Below are 18,885 nucleotides of genomic sequence, written 5' to 3'. Positions count from 1 at the left end.
AATAAAGTTTTTAGGAGGAAAAAGGTAAAACTTGATGTTTGCGCTTACATGTGCTCTGGGTTGTTTGATTGGATTGCCTTGTATAATTCCATAGCTGCTTCGCTTATTACCAGTTACAGCTTATGTTTGAAGTCACAATAAATTCTTCTTCGAACACGAAAGCTTGATTTTTGAGGAATTCACATTATTTACAGATTCAGAGATGTTTATGTCCTGTACTCTAGAAATAAGGAGAAAGTGGGTGGGGATGGGGCAGTCAGGTGGAATGGAGTGTCTTGGCAGTGTAAAGGAAAAAGATGGATGGAAAAGGTGTAGAGTGGCAGGGTGTGCCTTTGTTTCCTTATTGAACAGGGCACCTTGCCATTTGCAGTATATGGAAAATTGAGGAAATACAGTCTACTTCCGCAAAAGGCACATACAGAGGGCTTTGTTTAGACCAGAGATCGGCAAACTATGGTCCATGGGCCAAATACAGCCCAGCACTTGTTTTTTGTTTGTTATTTTAAATGTATAATTCACTGATTTTTAGTATATTCACAGAAGTGTACAACCATCACAACACTAGCGCCTGTTTTTGTAAAGAAAGTTCTCGTTGGGCTGGGCGCAGTGGTTCACGCCTGTAATCCCTCGGGAGACCGAGGGGGGCAGATCACCTGAGCTCAGGAGTTCAAGACCAGCCTGGCCAACATGGTGAAACTCTATCTCTACTAAAAAAATACAAAAGTTAGCAGGGCATGGTGATGGGCGCCTGTAATCCCAGCTACTTGGGAAACTGAGGCAGGGAGAATTGCTTGAACCCCGGAGGTGGAGGTTGCAGTGAGCCAAGATCGCACCATTGCACTCCAGCCTGGGCAACAGAGCAAGAGACTCTGACTCAAAAAAGAAAGTTTTCTTGGAACACAGGTACTCTCATTCCTGTGTTTTGTATGTGGCTGGTGTTTTTTGTTTTGTTTTGAGAGAGAGAGTCTTAACTTTGTCATCTAGGCTGGAGTGCAGTGGTATGATCTCGGGTCACTGCAACCTCTGCCTCCCAGGTTCAAGCGATTCTCCTGCCTCAGCCTCCCGAGTAGCTGGGATTACAAGTGTATGCCACCATGCCCAGCTAATTTTTGTAATTTTAGTAGAGATGGGGTCCCGCTGTGTTGCCCAGGCTGGTTTCAAACTCCTGGGCTCAAGTGATCTGCCCACCTTACCCTCCCAAAGTGCTAGGATTACAGGTGTGAGCCACAACACCTGACCTGTGGCTGTTTTCTTACTGTAGCGATAGACGAGGAGTTGCTGCATTGCATAGAGATGGTATATTGCACGCAAAGGCTTTACTGACTTCATAAAAAAGTGTTTGTCCCAGGTTTAGTGTACTAGATCCCTTGCAGTCTGTAATTTTAATTTAAAAATGTCCAGATACCCCTATTTTGAAGGATAAACTCTGTATGCTTGTGCTTATTTTGGAGAAGCCATAAACTTACTTTGTTTTGTACATGATCAGATGTGGGCGCTATCTCCAACTGTCTTTGCACTTCTGAGTAAGAATCTGATGATTGTGCACAGTGACCTGGCTGTTCACTTCCCTGCCATTCAGTATGCTGTGCTCTACACATTGTATTCTCATTGTACCAGGTACTGTATTTACAAATTTTTCTTAAGAACCCCACAAAACATTTTTTTTTTTAATGGATAGATTTTAAAGATGTATGTTGATTTAACTTTGGACTTGCTTGCTTTCTTTGATTAAAGATGAAAAGATAATCTGTGCTTTGTCTTTCAGGCATGATCACTTTATCTCTAGTAGCCTCAGTTCTTCCTCTCCTTCTTTGTTTGATGGAGCTGTGATTAGCACTGTAACTACGGCTACAAAGAAACATTTCTCAATTATATTAAATCTTCTGGGAATATTACTTAAGAAAGATAACCTTAACCAGGACACGAGGTAACAGATATTATATAGTATTAACTATTCCTAACTTTGTTAATTTGCCTTTATAATTTGAGAATAAGAAATGTGGATTACAAAAAATTTTTAAAAATGTGGATTATAGAGGTGAGGTAGAGCAGCTTCTTTATTGTCAAACACCTTATAATTTGGTTTTATTATTTAATCTAGGCTTTCTTATTCTTTCTGAAAAGAAATACATGAAAAACCTCACTCCCCCACCCCCCAGTGTTTCATAGAAGAATATATATAGATTTTTAATATTCTTTGCTTTTTTTTTTGAGACGGAGTTTTGCTCACTGCAACCTCTGCCTCCTAGGTTCAAGCAATTCTCCTGCCTCAGCCTCCCAAGTAGCCGCGATTACAGGTGCCCGCCACCACACCCAGCTAATTTTTGTATTTTTAGTAGAGATGGTGTTTCACCATGTTGTTGGCCAGGCTGGTCTTGAACTCCTGACCTCAGGTAAGCCACCACACCCGGCCTCTTTGCTATTATCATGCTGCGTTGGGAGGTTTTCTTAAAAGGCACACAACAATTTTGACAGTAATTTCTATAGTTTCATTTTTTTATTTTTATTTTTTATTGTTTGAGATGTTTGAAAAACCAAGAGAAGACCAATGTAAGAAGACTAGGCTTTTAATGTTTTTTGGTTTTTGTTTTTTTTAATGTACAGTCAACTGTATATTTTGTGTTTCAGGAAACTGTTAATGACTTGGGCTTTGGAAGCAGCTGTTTTAATGAAGAAGTCTGAAACATACGCACCTTTATTCTCTCTTCCGTCTTTCCATAAATTTTGCAAAGGCCTTTTAGCCAACAGTAAGACTCTGTTTTTTTTTTTTTTTCTATTTTGTTTATCAATCCTTAAAAGGGTCTTTGGTAATGGGAGATGGTCATGAATCGAGCTGTTTTCCTGACCTGAAGATGTGTAATCCTCATTTTAATGACAGATACACAGTCTTGATTTTTTTTCATTCTTAGTATTAGAAAAATGTTTTGAAGTGATTGTCACATTTTTAAGCTTACGTGAATGTTTATAGTTTGCATATACTTTTACATTTTCTCTCAGAAAAAGTTTTGTGTGATGACCCATCAGTTACATTACGTGGGTTTTGTTGAATGTATCATTTTAACAAATGTGACAGTCAGTGAGAATTCTGGACAAGAGTAGTGCCTAGTCTATAGTAGGCACTCACTCTTTGTTGAATGAATGAATGGATTCAGATAATTATGACAAACTGGGATATAATTTCTTTTGGCCAGCTGAAAGTAACTGTCTTTTAATGTTTAATAGCTCTCGTTGAAGATGTGAATATCTGTCTGCAGGCATGCAGCAGTCTACATGCTCTGTCCTCTTCCTTGCCAGATGATCTTTTACAGAGGTATGAAATTAAGATCATGTCTTTTGACATTAACCCTAATAACCTGGAAATGTTAACACACCTGCTTTGTCTATTTCGTTCTTTCATAGATGTGTCGATGTTTGCCGTGTTCAACTAGTGCACAGTGGAACTCGTATTCGACAAGCATTTGGAAAACTGTTGAAATCAATTCCTTTAGATGTTGTCCTAAGGTATAACAGTTGTTTTGGAGCAAAGACATTCTGTGATATTTACAGCCTCTACTGGTTGTCTACTTTAGGAGAAGACAGATCACCTATTAGAGCATTAATGACACATCTTTTATGGCCCTGTTTGTCAGTGATTGAAGTGATGTCAAATAATCGAATTTTGCAGGTCTGCAAGAAAATTAAAAATTTTTAATGAGCTTTATAGGCTCACAATAATTAGTATAGAATAACTCATGTAGTGCCAAAATATGTTTCTTAGTAGCTCAGATATTTGAAAAACTAAACAGTAATCTTTTATTGTTTTTGATCAAGTTGATTTGGGAGCTTTAAGAGCCTAAACTTGATCCTTTTGTAATACATAAGCATAATGATTGGGTTTTTATTTTCACATGTTTGATATGCCTCCCTCAAATCCTCTTATGATGTCAGCACATTACCCATCTGAGGTGAATAAAAAAAGGATCTAAAGTTGTAATCACATCTCTGTATCCATTTGAAAGTCTCAATTTTACTATATTTTTACCTCCAGTGAGTTAATAAGTAAATAATCCACTTACAGTATGTGCTAACCTTTTAAGCTAAAATATTTTGCATAACAACTTTATTTTCTGTCTACAGCAATAACAATCACACAGAAATTCAAGAAATTTCTTTAGCATTAAGAAGTCACATGAGTAAAGCACCAAGTAATACATTCCACCCCCAAGATTTCTCTGATGTTATTAGTTTTATTTTGTATGGGAACTCTCATAGAACAGGGTAAGGCATTTCTTTGACTCTTTTATCTGGGAAACATAATTTTAAGATTCTTTTGACTTTACATGCAGTTTTGAAGAGAAAATATGTTTGGGGGTGGCAGAGTATCAAGTAACATTCTTCTCATATGGGTTATTTTAGTTTTCATCAATAGGAAAATTGCTTTGAAGATAGCATCTGTAGAAACAAAAATGGGCTTTGAAATTGAGTAATGAAATGTGGTTAACAGTTAACTGATGTGATGTCATTAACACTTTGGGGAATGGGGTGGGGGTGGAGATATTCTAGACATGCTTAGTTGAATTGAGTGAGTTTCATTCCTGACTGGCATAAGCCATTTACCCTAATCATCCTTCCACACTGTACCTCAACCTGTTAACTATAAAAGACCTCAAAATGAGAGGGGGGACACAATGCTTCTCAATTTCATAGGTTTTGCCTTTTTTGGAGTAGGGAAAATTACAGTTCCTTATTCCTATTCCCCTTGCATTTTTTTTTTCATTATTAAAATGAAGTTGTCATTGTCTTTTAAATATGAAACTGCTTTTCCCAGGAAGGACAATTGGTTGGAAAGACTGTTCTATAGCTGCCAGAGACTGGATAAGCGTGACCAGTCAACAATTCCACGCAATCTCCTGAAGACAGATGCTGTCCTTTGGCAGTGGGCCATATGGGAAGCTGCACAATTCACTGTTCTTTCTAAGCTGAGAACCCCACTGGGCAGAGCTCAAGACACCTTCCAGACAATTGAAGGTAACTCACTCAAGCTTTGTGATGTGAATACTTTCAAAGCCTTATTAAGAAATACTGGATTCTTAAATCTTTGTTAAAGATTTGAGAGTATATGATTTTTTTGAAAAAAGTCAATAATTTTCAGGTATGTTTGTTAGAATAAGCTTTCATTGAATAATTGCATTGGAAATATGTTTTTTTTTCCCCAAAACTTAGGGAGTTGTGTGGAAAAAATATATATTTCTTTCCCCTAAAATGAAAGATCTTTCATGTTGGGATTTTTTATTTTTAAATGATGGGTAGACAGAGGATACTTGATAAATGTGAATTGGTCATAAAAAACTCACACTTATTCTAGGAACTTTTAAGATTTTTAAAAATTCAGAATGTTGTCTTTGCTTTCAGGTATCATTCGAAGTCTCGCAGCTCACACATTAAACCCTGATCAGGATGTTAGTCAGTGGACAACTGCAGACAATGATGAAGGCCATGGTAACAACCAACTTAGACTTGTTCTTCTTCTGCAGTATCTGGAAAATCTGGAGAAATTAATGTATAATGCATACGAGGGATGTGCTAATGCATTAACTTCACCTCCCAAGGTTGGTTTCCATGAGATAGTGTTGTTTTATAGCAGTTTAATGGTCACAGCTGGCAGTATGTGCAGAGCTGAAATCACAGTAGACTTGTGTATTTGGTTTATATATAGGTGAGACATCCTTACCTACAAATTGAACCAGTCCTGAGCTTTTCTTTCTCTTATCGTAAAGGTCATTAGAACTTTTTTCTATACCAATCGCCAAACTTGTCAGGACTGGCTAACGCGGATTCGACTCTCCATCATGAGGGTAGGATTGTTGGCAGGCCAGCCTGCAGTGACAGTGAGACATGGCTTTGACTTGCTTACAGAGATGAAAACAACCAGCCTATCTCAGGTAATGTGGTGTGTTTGAAATTCATTTTAAGTCTGTTAATAAGAAAAGCATGGTTTAATTCCTTTGGTATGATTTAATCTATGGATAAAATAAGTTAAAGCTTGGATTCATTTTCAAAGGTTTTGATCCTGTATTTTGTAAAAGCAACAACTGCCAGAGTTACAGTGTTAGAAGTTAAAATAGGCCGGGCGCGGTGGCTCACGCCTGTAATCCCAGCACTTTGGGAGGCAGAGGTGGGCGGATCATGAGGTCAGGAGATCGAGACCATCCTGGCTAACACAGTGAAACCCCGCCTCTACTAAAAATACAAAAAATTAGCTGGGCGTGGTGGCAGGCGCCTGTAGTCCCAGCTACTCGGGAGGCTGAGGCAGGAGAATGGCGTGAACCCGGGAGGCGGAGCTTGCAGTGAACCGAGATCGCACCACTGCACTCCAGCCTGGGCGACAGAGCAAGACTCCGCCTCAGAAAAAAAAAAAAAAAAAAAAAAAAGAAGTTAAAATAATGTTCATGTTTTTGTTTATGTTAAAACAATATTCATGTTAGAACACGTTAAAACTATATTTCTTACGTGCAAAGTTTAGAACTTTAAAGGTAGTTCTGAAAATTTGTTTATGGGATAAATTATTTATTTATTTATTTATTTATTTATTTATTTATTTATTTTTTGAGACACAGTTTCACTTTGTCGCCCAGGCTGGAGTGCAGTTGTGCGATCTCGGCTCACTGTAACCTCTGCCTCTCAGGTTCAAGCCTCTTCTTGCCTCAGTCCCTGGGATTACAGGCACCCGCCACCATACTCGGCTAAGTTTTGTATTTTTAGTAGAGACAGGGTTTCACCATGTTGGCCAGGCTGGTCTCGAACTCCTGACCACAAGTGATCTGCCCACCTCGGCCTTCCAAAGTGCTGGGATTACAGGCATGAGCTACTGCACTTGGCCAGGAGAAATTGTTTTTATAACGTATGACAAATGCTTGAGTAATTCCTGGCTTGAAAGTGGGCTCACAATAAATAACTGGAATCCAAAAATAACAAAATGTTTAGCAATTCAGGTAATGTCAAGCAGTATTCAAACACATGAAGTTAATCATTCCTTAATTCCTGTTTATTTATATTTAATTTTTGCTTTCTTTTTACTCCATGTGTTGTTCCTACAGAGGTCACAGGTTGAATGTTTGGGTAACTTTGGGGTGGGGGTGCAAACATCCATGTGCTGCTAAGGTTCTGTTAGTCACCCTTTGTGGCTATTTTATATGTAACATTTTAAAGAATTCTGAGCTAAATAATGTGAAAATTGTGAAAATAATTGTTAAATACATTTGGCTTTAAGCAGGCACAGACTGATCAGTTGTAAATTTTATAGGGATTTATGTTTTAATGGTATTGGGTGACTAATTTTTCTGAATGCGTTTTCAGGGGAATGAATTGGAAGTAACCATTATGATGGTGGTAGAAGCATTATGTGAACTTCATTGTCCTGAAGCTATACAGGGAATTGCTGTCTGGTCATCATCTATTGTTGGAAAAAATCTTCTGTGGATTAACTCAGTGGCTCAACAGGCTGAAGGGAGGTAGGTTGGAGGGAAGGAAATGGGTGATAGAATTACTTTATGTTTAAGTTCTGTGTATTACTCACTGACATTGTAGCCAAATCTTAAAACAGCTTTGTTTGCTTTCAGCATTGAAGCTTGCTATAAATCACTTCACCAGGAGGCGTCTTCAGTTTGTTCTTTAGTTAGCAGCAATACTTGAGTGCCTTTCTTACTGAAGAATTAGTGGCAAATCACACTGTAAAACAAGACCTGTCAGTTATTTTATAAATGCTTTTGAACTTGATCCCTAGTTGAGCTCCTTCCCCCTCAGAGTCTGATACAAATTACCCTTTATTGTCAGAGTATTTGCTCATTAGTCCTGTGAACTCTACATTCAGACTCATTGCTTCCTCCAGGTAGAGGAGCTTGTACCATAATATTCTGTGTCCATTTATGTTAGTTTAATGAAATCTTGCGAATTTAGGAAAATAAAAGAACTGCTCATACTTCCATATCTTTGTAGTAACTTCTGTTGTGTGTCCTTTTGTAGTTCTGTATTTCCATATCCATATGCTTTGTAATTCTTTTTTCTTTCATGTCGTTTTCTCCACTCTTCACCAAAACAGCAGCGTACATAGGCACATGGTTTTATGATCTGTTTTTCCCACTCAATATTAAAAAAAAAATTTGCCATGTTAGGCTGGGTTCGGTGGCTTACATCTGTATTCCCAGCACTTTGGGAGGCTGAGGCAGGTGGATCACCTGAGGTCAGGAGTTTGAGACTAGCCTAACATGGTGAAACCCTGTCTCTACTAAAAATACAAAAAATATTAGCGAGGTGTGGTGGCACATACGTGTAATCCCAGCTACTTGGGAGGCTGAGCCAGGAGAATTGGTTGAACCTGGGAGGCGGAGGTTGCTGTGAGCCCAGGTTGTGCCACTGCCCTCCAGCCTGGGCAACAAGAGCGAAACTCTGTCTCCAAAAAAAAAAAAAAAATTGCCATGTTAAATATTCTACAGTGTTATTTTTAATAAAGATTTGTATTTATGAGTGTACCATAATTTAATATTTCTTACTGTTGGGCATTAAGGTTGTTTCTGATATTTTTTTTTACTAAATGTACCGTAGCACTTAATATCTTTGCTTATATTTCTGATTACTTTCTTGGAATCCATTCTCATAAACTGATTTACTAGAAGAAAGGCTGCCAAACCATAAGTCTTATGATATATTCTATTGCTAAGCTACTCTACAGAAAAGGTGGCTGCAGTTTATACCCTTAATAATAGAGTACCCCCTTCCCTTCATCTTTGTGGATACTGAGAGTCACTGAGAAACAAGAATGCTGCCACCACCGTCAGCAAAAATAGTTATTGTACTTTACATTTCTATATTTATTAATGACTAATAGTAGAAGTTGCCCCATATAGTGACCTTTTGTGATTTTTTAAAACATGGATCATGTCTTCGTGGCCTCTCAATTTTTCCTGTGTTAATCTGTGAAATTTTATGAAATACTAAGATTGTTGATGCTATCCAATTTCTTGATTTATAATTTGTTTTTAATGTTTAATGTTGTATTTCAGCATTATGCATCTAGATCTGTTACTTGTGCATCTTTTCTTGGATTTTATCCTTCTACAAAGCCTTTCCACACACTGACATCAGCTACTTATCAATATTTTCCACTAGTTCTTTTATACTGTCTTACATTTTTTTAAAAACATTTAACCACTTTTAAATTTAGTTTCATAGTTGTGAGGAAGACATCAAACCTCCCCCCACCATAGTCGACTCACTGTTTTAGCTCAGTTTATTCTTGCACCATTTTTTGTGGGAGGGGGGAAATGAGATATGTGTGTTTAAAATAAGACTCCTTTGGGGCTGGGCGCGGTGGTTCACGCCTGAAATCCCAGTACTTGGGGAGACTGAGGTGAGCGGATTGCTTGAGTCCAGGAGTTTGAGATCACCCTGGCCAACATAGCAAAACCTTGTTTTAGCCAGGTGTGGTGGTGGGCGCCTATAGTCCCAGCTACTTGGGAGGCTGAGGTTGGAGGATTGCATGAGCCTGGGAGGGCAAGGCTGTAGCGAGCCATGATCATGCCACTGCTCTCCAGCCTGGGTGACAGTAAGACTCTGTCTCAAAAAATAAGTAAGTAAAGGCCAGGCGCGGTGGCTCATGCCCATAATCCCAGCATTTTGGGAGGCCGAGGCAGGTGGATCACCTGAGGTCAAGAGTTCAAGACCAGCCTGGCCAACACGGTGAAACCCCGTCTCTACTAAAAATACAAGAAAATTAGCCGGGCATGGTGGCGAGCGCCTGTATTCCCAGCTACTCAGGAGGCTGAGGTGGGAAAATCGCTTGTACCCAGGAGGCAGAGGTTGCATTGAGCTGAGACAGTGCCATTGCACTCCAGCCTGGGCAAGAAGAGCAAAACTTCATCACAAAAAAAAAAAAAAAAAAAAAAAAAGTAAGTAGATAAATAAATAAGACTGCTTCAATTTGCTTTTCAGGTTTGAAAAGGCCTCTGTGGAGTACCAGGAACACCTGTGTGCCATGACAGGTGTTGATTGCTGCATCTCCAGCTTTGACAAATCGGTGCTCACCTTAGCCAATGCTGGGCGTAACAGTGCCAGCCCGAAACATTCTCTGAATGGTGAGCGTTCAGTATTTTTAAATAAAGCAAAAGTTATAGTAATATATTTCGTACTGATGATCTTATTTTATGTTTTTAGGTTTCTGTGCTCTTTGAAATATTTCTAACTGATCTGAATCTCTCTCTTCTTATTTTATAAAATACTTTCAGGTGAATCCAGAAAAACTGTGCTGTCCAAACCGACTGACTCTTCCCCTGAGGTTATAAATTATTTAGGAAATAAAGCATGTGAGTGCTACATCTCAATTGCCGATTGGGCTGCTGTGCAGGAATGGCAGAACGCTATCCATGACTTGAAAAAGAGTACCAGTAGCACTTCCCTCAACCTGAAAGCTGACTTCAACTATATAAAGTAAGGCTTACTTTTTCCAGTTATAAAACAAATTTCCAATAACTATGATGTTTTTCCTATGGCAAGAAAATATTAAAATTGGTCATATGTAGTAATACAAAATGGTTATATATCTAACTTACTGCCATTATGAAAATGACAACAGGAAACTGACGTCAGAGGTGAGGGAAGGTATTTGTGTAATGGGAAAACACTGCTGAGATAGTCATTTGGTATTAATTTTCAGAACCTGTTGTTCTAAAACCTTAATACAGTTTGAAGATTATGCCAGAGTGAATATAAAGAAAAATTTGTACTGCTTTAGAAAGAATCATGTTTGATGGCTTTGTTTCTAAATGAGGTCTGAATATATCAAAAACATTTATTCTAATGAGGACAGTTTGTGAACATCTGTAAATTAAACTTTCTTTTCATTCCTCTGTGCTTTTATTCTGTAATTCAAAACTGAGCACTCACTCTGCTGCAGACACTTGGCTGGGAAGATAAAGGTCATTAGACTTTGTCTGATACCCTTGCCTTCTACTGCTAAATGGGTTAATGTGTAATTGCTTCACTGAGCATGTACTATGACCCAGGCAGCACATAAAACAGACACAAATTCCAACCTTTTAAAGCAAAGATTAGATAAAGAATATTGATAGAAGGATTAATTGAACCTCACTCACCTTTTCTGTGCCATAAGGAAAGCAGTTAGGTAAAGCTGACCTTCTTGGGAGGGAAGACACAAGGTCAAGGCATGCCCATCAGGATGCCCTTTGGCCCTAGACCTGATGTGAGAATGGTGGGCTTGGAGTATTCTGGAAATAGCTGGGAGGCCTCTGTGTTTAGGAGTGCCTTAAACAGTAGGATATAAGGGCAGAGAAGTAGCTGGGAACTGAGAAAAGAACTTTGGCTGTTATTCTAGTAAGACTGAAAATTTCAGGTGGGATTTGAACAGAGATGTGTTGTGATCTGACTTGGTGGTTCATTCTGCTATGGTGAAGAGACTGGAGGTGGGGGGCAAGTATGGAAGCATGGAGACCATTAATTTATGGGGGCAATGGTAGAGGGAAGAGAAACAATGCTATTAACTGGAGTAGGAGCACACAGAGAACAAGCCATGTTTTAAGATTTGTAATGAAATGTGCAGATGAGATTGTTGGGTAAGCTGTTAAGAATTGGATTTGGAACTAAGGAGAAAGTCTAAGCTTGAGAGATTTGCAGATCATTAGTACACAGAAAAGGCCCTCTTTCCTTTTCAGTCTCTATACTCTAGAGCCTTTGTAAGCAACCAAACCAGAGAGAAGCCTCTGAAGAATAGTGAGTGAAGAGAAAGGCAGGCCTGGGTCAGAATCCTAGTTTAGCATTTTTGTGAAAGAATAGAAGAGGAGGCCATTCAAAAAAATACAGGGACATTGAGAAGGGAAGTGTCCTAGATATAGGACATCCAGATGGGAGTAGTCAGCCTTGTCAGATGCTCTAGGGATTATAAGGAAAAAGAGTTTTGTAGAGAGACAGAAGCAGCTAGATTGAATACTATTGAGTGGTAGAGACATTTGAAAATGAAAAGCTTGAGGTAAGTTATTTGGTCAGTGAGTTTTTCTTGAAGTCGAGGATAGGAAGCTGTTGCTGGAGGGAAATATGAGATGTTTATTTTAAATGTTGGAGAGATTATGTTCTTTTGGCCAAGGGGAAGGAGCCACTAGAAAGCAGAGGTTGAAGAAACAGGAGAAAGAACATTGATAGATTAACTGGCCCTTACCTTTTCTCTGCCTCAAGGAAAGCAGTCAAAGTTGCTATAGACAGAATTTTGGCAGTGTATGGTGGATTGGGGGTAGGGGTAGAGGAAATTAAAGCCTACTTTTTTTGTTTATTTGTTTGTTTTTCTGAGGACTGAGTCATTAGCTGAAAGCATAGGGCATTATAGAGCATAGTGGGGACTTGGGGAACCTGCCACCTGGAGAGGACTTAGGACCTTTTAATGGCAGAAATGATGAATGTGTTGGCAGCAGTTCATCAGTGCCCAGTACTCAAGGGTCCCCCTGAGAAGCCAGTGGTTGCACGGATCTAGGTAGAATCAGGCACAGAATAAGTCAGGTGATGTGCCTTTCTAGCACTGGCCTCAGGCTGATTTATAAGGGAAGTTACACAGCGAGAGGGACAGGCAAAGATGGAAAAGAGAGAGAGTGAGAAACAGTGTCTTCTTCCTGGCTGGAGAGCCCGTGTCATGAAAATGGGGACAGGGTAAGGGATCTGAAAGGAGCAGCATAGAAGCTGGGAGGATGAGGCCTGTCTTCCTGGCATTGATGCTGCAGGACTACAGGAAAGAATTTCAGAGGTGTCATTATTTTTCATATAAGCAGATGAAAGAGAAGAAGTCTTTGAAAAAAGAGAAGTAGGTGAAAAAGGGAGAGACGGAGGGATGCCAGCAGTGAAAGAAGCCAGGACTGAGATACAAGATTGTGATGCTGGGAGAGCTGTGCAAGGGCTCATGCTGTAGGTGAGGAGTGAGGCTGCACAGGGAGCTCACTGGCAGCTTGGAGAGAACTGGGTGTCAAAGTTGTCCTGCAGAGGTCTACTGTCAGTGTGTTAGGATCTGAAGAGAACAGGCTGCAACACATGAAAACAGGAAGGAGACACAGGGGCGAGTCAGCTCCACTGAAAGTCTGTAGCTGTGACTTTCTGGTTTGCCACTCCAATTTGAGTACTAATTAAGTGGTAGTCACATCTTCAACATAAAAACCAAAATAATGGCATCCTCGTGGAAGGAATTTTGTCAGAAAAATGCTGTGTACTTTGCTGTCTTCCTAGGATTTGTTCTGTTTTTGTTTGTTTTTTTTTAATGGTTCCACAGGCTGCATAGGAATACAAGCTAACCAATATTTTAATTACAGATCATTAAGCAGCTTTGAGTCTGGAAAATTTGTTGAATGTACCGAGCAGTTAGAATTGTTACCAGGAGAAAATATCAATCTACTTGCTGGAGGATCAAAAGAAAAAATAGGTATTTGAGAAAATAGTTTTAAAGTTATTTTAGTGGACAAGTTGCTCAAAATGTTTGGCTTAGTATATTTTACTGGAAAATCTGGAAGTTATTTTACATTTTTGTGGGGGCAGAATCCCATGTGAAGCAACAAATTTAGGGCTGCCCTATTTATGTTTGATTTGGGAAATGAAAAGCACTTAAAATTAAGTCAAATAAAAAAAATGACCACCTTAATACTTTGAGATTTATCTAGCCATTTTGTTTGATAAAGGACAAAGTAGTGTTTCAGCTAAATATTTTTCTTGATTTTCATCTTGATGTGGCTCATTAATTTATCACAAATAGAACACTTTATAAAATGTTATTAAAAAGTTTAATGAGTATTCTGGATTGAGCAAGATTTGCTAATGCAGGTCTAGATTTGTCCCCTTAAATAGTAGATTGACTTACCGATTTTCTTTTTTGTTGAGACAGAGTTTCACTCTGTTGCCCAGGCTGGAGTGCAGTGGCGCAATCTCGGCTCACTGCAGCCTCTGCCCTCTGAGTTCAAGTGATTCTCCTGCCTCAGCCTCCTGAGTAGCTGGGATTACAGGTGTCTGCCACCGTGCCCAGGTAATTTTTTGTATTTTTAGTAGAGACGGGGTTTCACCATCTTGGCCAGGCTGGTCTTGAACTCCTGACCTCGTGATCCACCCACCTTGGCCTCCCAAAGTGCTGGGATTACAGGCGTGAGCCACCACGCCTGGCCTCGACTTACTGATTTTTGGCCTTTGAAGGCAACTGCTTTTTAGGGGTCTGAGGTACAGTAATTTTGTATGAAGTATGATTTTTATATAGCTCTCAGTAATGCTTATAGTGTTTAACTGCCTTAAATATTAAAGGAGCTGTTCATTGGTGATTAGTTTTTAATAATGCCAAACATAAATCAAAATTTATAATAAAAGCACATGAACTTAATGACGTTTTATTTAACTTTGGTAGACATGAAAAAACTGCTTCCTAACATGTTAAGTCCGGATCCGAGGGAACTTCAGAAATCCATTGAAGTTCAATTGTTAAGAAGTTCTGTTTGTTTGGCAACTGCTTTAAACCCGATAGAACAAGATCAGAAGTGGCAGTCTATAACTGAGTAAGTTTACTCTTACGGAGGTAAATGTACATTGTGTATATCATGTGATAAACATACATGGGGTGAAGAGGGCTGGAAGGAGAGTTACTAGATTACTAAATACTAGTGCTAATAGCTTCATTTTAGTTGTAGAAGTCATATGATATATGAATGCTGCTTGCCAACATAAACTGAGGTTGAAATGAAATAAAATGTAAAAATCCCCAAAAGCAAATGTCTTGACTTGCTAATATCATTTTATTATAGAGCAGGCTGCTCCTCTTACTGCCCCCTAACTTTGGATGTCAGTTTGATAGCATCTTATCAATTGCTTTATTCTTTGAGTGGTTATGAATTGTAATTTTTATTAATTGGCAGTAAATATTTTGTTTCAGAAATGTGGTAAAGTACTTGAAGCAAACATCCCGCATCGCTATTGGACCTCTGAGACTTTCTACTTTAACAGTTTCACAGTCTTTGCCAGTTCTAAGTACCTTGCAGCTGTATTGCTCATCTGCTTTGGAGAACACAGTTTCTAACAGACTTTCAACAGAGGTCTGTATATTTTTACAAGCACACTCTTATGACTATTAATGGTCATTACTGTAGAACAAAGACCTTATTTTTTTAGTTTTTTGAAATAGGATTTGTAGCTGGGCAAGCTAGTAGATCCAGAAATCTAACATGCTGTTTTCAGGCAGTTTTTCATTTGAGAAGTACATGGGGCAGATGGAAGAACCTGAGATAATCTCAAGGATGGCAAATTGCTCAGTTTTTTCCTTCTAATTTCGGGGTGGGAGGTGGTGTATGTAAAGACAGTTCCTTTAGGCGGATTACGTAAATTTTAGATTTGCTGCAAACAAAGATCTCTCCTCTTCATCCTAAATGGGGTAAAGTTCAACCAGAGATGGGGGCTTCTGAATGAATGATGATCTTCGAGAACTTCATTATAAAGCATTAGTTGTAATGTTTTTCTGCAGTCTGCTTTATAGTAAATGTGCTGTGACTTTTTTTTTTGTAATGTGCTTTATTAAGTATACTGATAAATTAGACTTAATATTCTGAAGAAGATTTCCCTTCAAAACAAAAGGCTTTCTCTTACTGTGTGCTTGCCTCTTGTGAGTAGAAGATAAATGATGTAAGGGTATAGTGTAATAGATAAAACTACTGCAATCAATCTGAAGTAGCCAAACTATATTGCAGTCTTGGACTTAAGACTTGCTATATATCTGCAAACATATCAACAGCCTGTTTTATGTTGAGTAATTTTGGTTTTTCTCTGGCAGGACTGTCTTATTCCACTCTTCAGTGAAGCTTTACGTTCATGTAAACAGCATGACGTGAGGCCATGGATGCAGGCATTAAGGTATACTATGTACCAGAATCAGTTGTTGGAGAAAATTAAAGGTAAGTGGTTTTTTTTTCTTGTAAGAGAAAATTAAAGGTGTTCTTTTTTTAAATTTTGCTTTATTGAGGTTTATATTACACATTCTAAGTGTATGGTTTGATGAGTTCTAACATGTCTTCACTTGTGTGACCACCAATACGATCGAGATACAGAACACCGTCTTACCCCAGAAGGTTCCCTTGGGATCATCTCCTCATTTGCCCCTGTCAGCAGTTACTGATTTGCTTTCTGTCACTATGGATTAGACTTGTCTTTACTAAAGTTTCATGTACGTGAAATCATAACAACATGTTCTCTTGTGTTTGGCTTCTCTTGCTCAACATGATATTTTTAAGGTTCACCCATATTGCATGTATCAGGAATACAATCCTTTTTATTATTGAGTAGAGTTCTATTGTATGTATATACCCCAGTTTATTTCTCCCTTCATCCTTTGCTAGATTTTGGGGTTTTTTCACATTGCGCTATTCAGTATAAACCTGCTCTCAACATTCATGTGCAAGTCTTTGAGTGGACGTATATTTGTGTTTCTCTCGAGTGAATGCACCTTGTTGGGTCACGTAGCTTAACTTAAAAAAATTTTAATCACTGTGGTGCATATGTAGTGATTATTAGTGATTATCTCATAATTTTATTTACATTTTCTTGATTAATGATGCTGAGTGTATTTCATTTGTATTTTAGTTTGCAAATGTTTGTTCAAATTCTTCACCCATTTTTAATGAAGACATAAGACTTATTTTTGTGTTCTGAACCTAAGTTCTTTGTCACGTAAAATGCGCTATGAATATTGAGTTTTAAATACTCCAAATGAATGGCTAGAGAATTACTATTTGTATAAATATTTATATGTCAAAGGGATGCTAACAATTTACTTTATTGCTCTAAAATAGAAAAGTTGCCAGAATGCTGTGCAGTTTTAGTGGAAAACATGATAGCTGGTGTTACTGAGTAAATTTGAGTGTTAAATGTCAATGTAAGCTAACAGCCAAGATAGGGACCACTGCAGAGTGGTTACTTGAAGCTGTGACTCAACTGGTCCTTCACTGCCAAATATACCTGGGGTTGGATCATTGGCCTGATGTTTGCAAATTGAGGAACCTTAGGGCAAATCAGTGAACTTCTGAACTGCTTTCCTCTTCAGTTATATGGGGATTTCCCCACTTTTGAGATACTTGTAAGGATTATATGAGATGAAGAGATGAGACAAGGTATATAAAAGTCCTAGCACAGAGCGTGTCATATAATATGGCTTCACAAGTACCCTCATCTCCTTTCCAGTCCTGTTTTTTTTTTTTTTTGAGACCATCTCACTCTGTTGCCCAGGCTGGAGTGCCTCTTCATTTTTATTTCTTTATTCAGCAAGTATTGATCAAATGTGCTTTGTACTAGGTACTGAGCTCTACGTTGTGATATAATGGTGATCAAGGAGATTGTAGATTCTGGCAGGGAAAACTGACATCAAACACGGTGACCCAACATAGCAAGACCCTGTCTCTGCTAGAAGAATTTAAAAAATCACCCGGGTGTGGGCTGGGCGCGGTGGCTCACGCCTGTAGTCCCAGCACTTTGAGATGCTGACGGGGGGTGGATCACGAGGTCAGGAGATTGAGACCATCCTGGATAACACGGTGAAACCCCATCTCTACTAAAAATACAAAAAAATTAGCTGGGCGTGGGGGCGGGTGCCTGTAGTCCCAGCTACTTGGGAGGCTGAGGCAGGAGAATGGCATGAACCAGGGAGGCGGATCTTGCATTGAGCCAAGATCACGCCACTGCACTCCAGCCTGGGCAACAGAGTGAGACTCTATTTCAAAAAAAAAAAAAAAAAAAAAAAAATCACCTGGGTGTGGTGGCATGTGCCTATAGTCCCAGCTGCTTAGGAGGCTGAGGTGGGCGGATAGCATGAGCCTGGGAAATGAAGGCTGCAGCGAGCTATGATCATGCCACTGCACTCCAGCCTGGGTGACAGAGTGACACCCGGTCTCAAAAAATAAGAAGGAACAGCAAATAACGAGGGCACCTGATTTAATCCTAGGAATCAGAAAAAGACTTGTGGGGAAGTAACATTTAAGCTGAGAGTTAAGATAAAGATGAGGAAGAAGGCAGGCTGACTTGGTTAGAAAAAACGTGTGCAGGCCAGAGAAAATAATGATTCTTAGTTGACTCAGTTCACCTAAGAGAGAGTAGGAAGAGGTGGAGCGCTGGATGAGATTGAGATTGGAATTGAATGCTGGAAGGCATCAGTAACAAGCTGAATTCAGGAGTTTGGGATTTGTCAGAATGTCAGTGAGAAGTCATCAGAGGCTTTTAAGCAGGGAAGTGAAATGTTCAGATTTACCCTTGTGTAATGTCACTTCAATTGCAAGTTGGAAAATGGATTAGAAGAGTATAAGAATGGGGTCAAAGGGACCTAAGTTATGCTGAAGTCTCTGCTAAAGAGGGTAACTAGGGTGGCAGTAGGGAAAGAAAAAAGCAAATGGGCCATGAGGGTTGAAAGTAAAGTCTGTGATGGTGGCCAAGTACTTTCACAGGCAGCCGGCTCATCCTGTGCCCTTCCTTGAGAAGGGGAAAATGGAAAAAGGGAGTAAAAGATTTGGAGGGTGGTGGAAAATGAGCTCCATTTGGCATGACTGACATTAGAGGAAGCACTCTTGAAATAAATAGAGTGTAGATGACCAGTTGGCAGGTGGGATTCAGATATCAGGTCTGGGTGAAGATTCAGCAGTTGTCAGCATTTCTGTGGTAATTGAAGACACAGGAAAAGATGATGATGTCCAGGGAGAGTATGCAGTGGGAAAAGTAGAGAGCCTAGGACTGAGTCCAAGGAGCACTGGTGTTTAATGGATGAGTGATGGAAGAGAAAGAGACTGAGGATTCTTCAGCAAGATAGGAAGAAAACCAGGAGAATGGTGGAAGGGCAGAGAGTACTTACAGAAGAAG

At 39.2% G+C, this 18,885-nt stretch overlaps 1 protein-coding gene and 1 non-coding gene across 15 annotated transcripts in view; both read left to right on the top strand.

Annotated features, from left to right (window-relative positions):
* The window catches only part of SMG1 (SMG1 nonsense mediated mRNA decay associated PI3K related kinase), a 121,549-nt gene that overhangs the window by 52,298 nt on the left and 50,366 nt on the right, over positions 1-18,885 (top strand). For all 14 annotated transcript variants that reach the window (XM_047433796.1, XM_005255184.5, XM_047433793.1 and 11 more), the window contains 16 exons: positions 1,487-1,617; positions 1,766-1,927; positions 2,629-2,747; positions 3,223-3,310; positions 3,400-3,501; positions 4,117-4,257; positions 4,808-5,007; positions 5,392-5,588; positions 5,757-5,921; positions 7,336-7,490; positions 9,967-10,109; positions 10,260-10,461; positions 13,335-13,444; positions 14,408-14,555; positions 14,930-15,089; positions 15,821-15,941. In XM_047433796.1, coding sequence (XP_047289752.1) covers positions 1,487-1,617; positions 1,766-1,927; positions 2,629-2,747; positions 3,223-3,310; positions 3,400-3,501; positions 4,117-4,257; positions 4,808-5,007; positions 5,392-5,588; positions 5,757-5,921; positions 7,336-7,490; positions 9,967-10,109; positions 10,260-10,461; positions 13,335-13,444; positions 14,408-14,555; positions 14,930-15,089; positions 15,821-15,941 — 2,344 coding nt within the window. The remainder of the gene's footprint in view (positions 1-1,486; positions 1,618-1,765; positions 1,928-2,628; positions 2,748-3,222; positions 3,311-3,399; positions 3,502-4,116; positions 4,258-4,807; positions 5,008-5,391; positions 5,589-5,756; positions 5,922-7,335; positions 7,491-9,966; positions 10,110-10,259; positions 10,462-13,334; positions 13,445-14,407; positions 14,556-14,929; positions 15,090-15,820; positions 15,942-18,885) is intronic.
* On the top strand, positions 3,842-3,945 carry LOC124903799 (small nucleolar RNA U13). Its single transcript, XR_007065244.1, has one exon. It is a non-coding gene; the product is annotated as a small nucleolar RNA U13 (small nucleolar RNA).

The sequence above is a fragment of the Homo sapiens genome, chromosome 16, assembly GCF_000001405.40.
Source record: "Homo sapiens chromosome 16, GRCh38.p14 Primary Assembly".
Taxonomy (NCBI): Eukaryota; Metazoa; Chordata; class Mammalia; order Primates; family Hominidae; genus Homo; species Homo sapiens.
The sequence above is the reverse complement of the archived record's forward strand: the minus strand, read 5'-3'. Positions and strand labels throughout refer to the sequence as shown.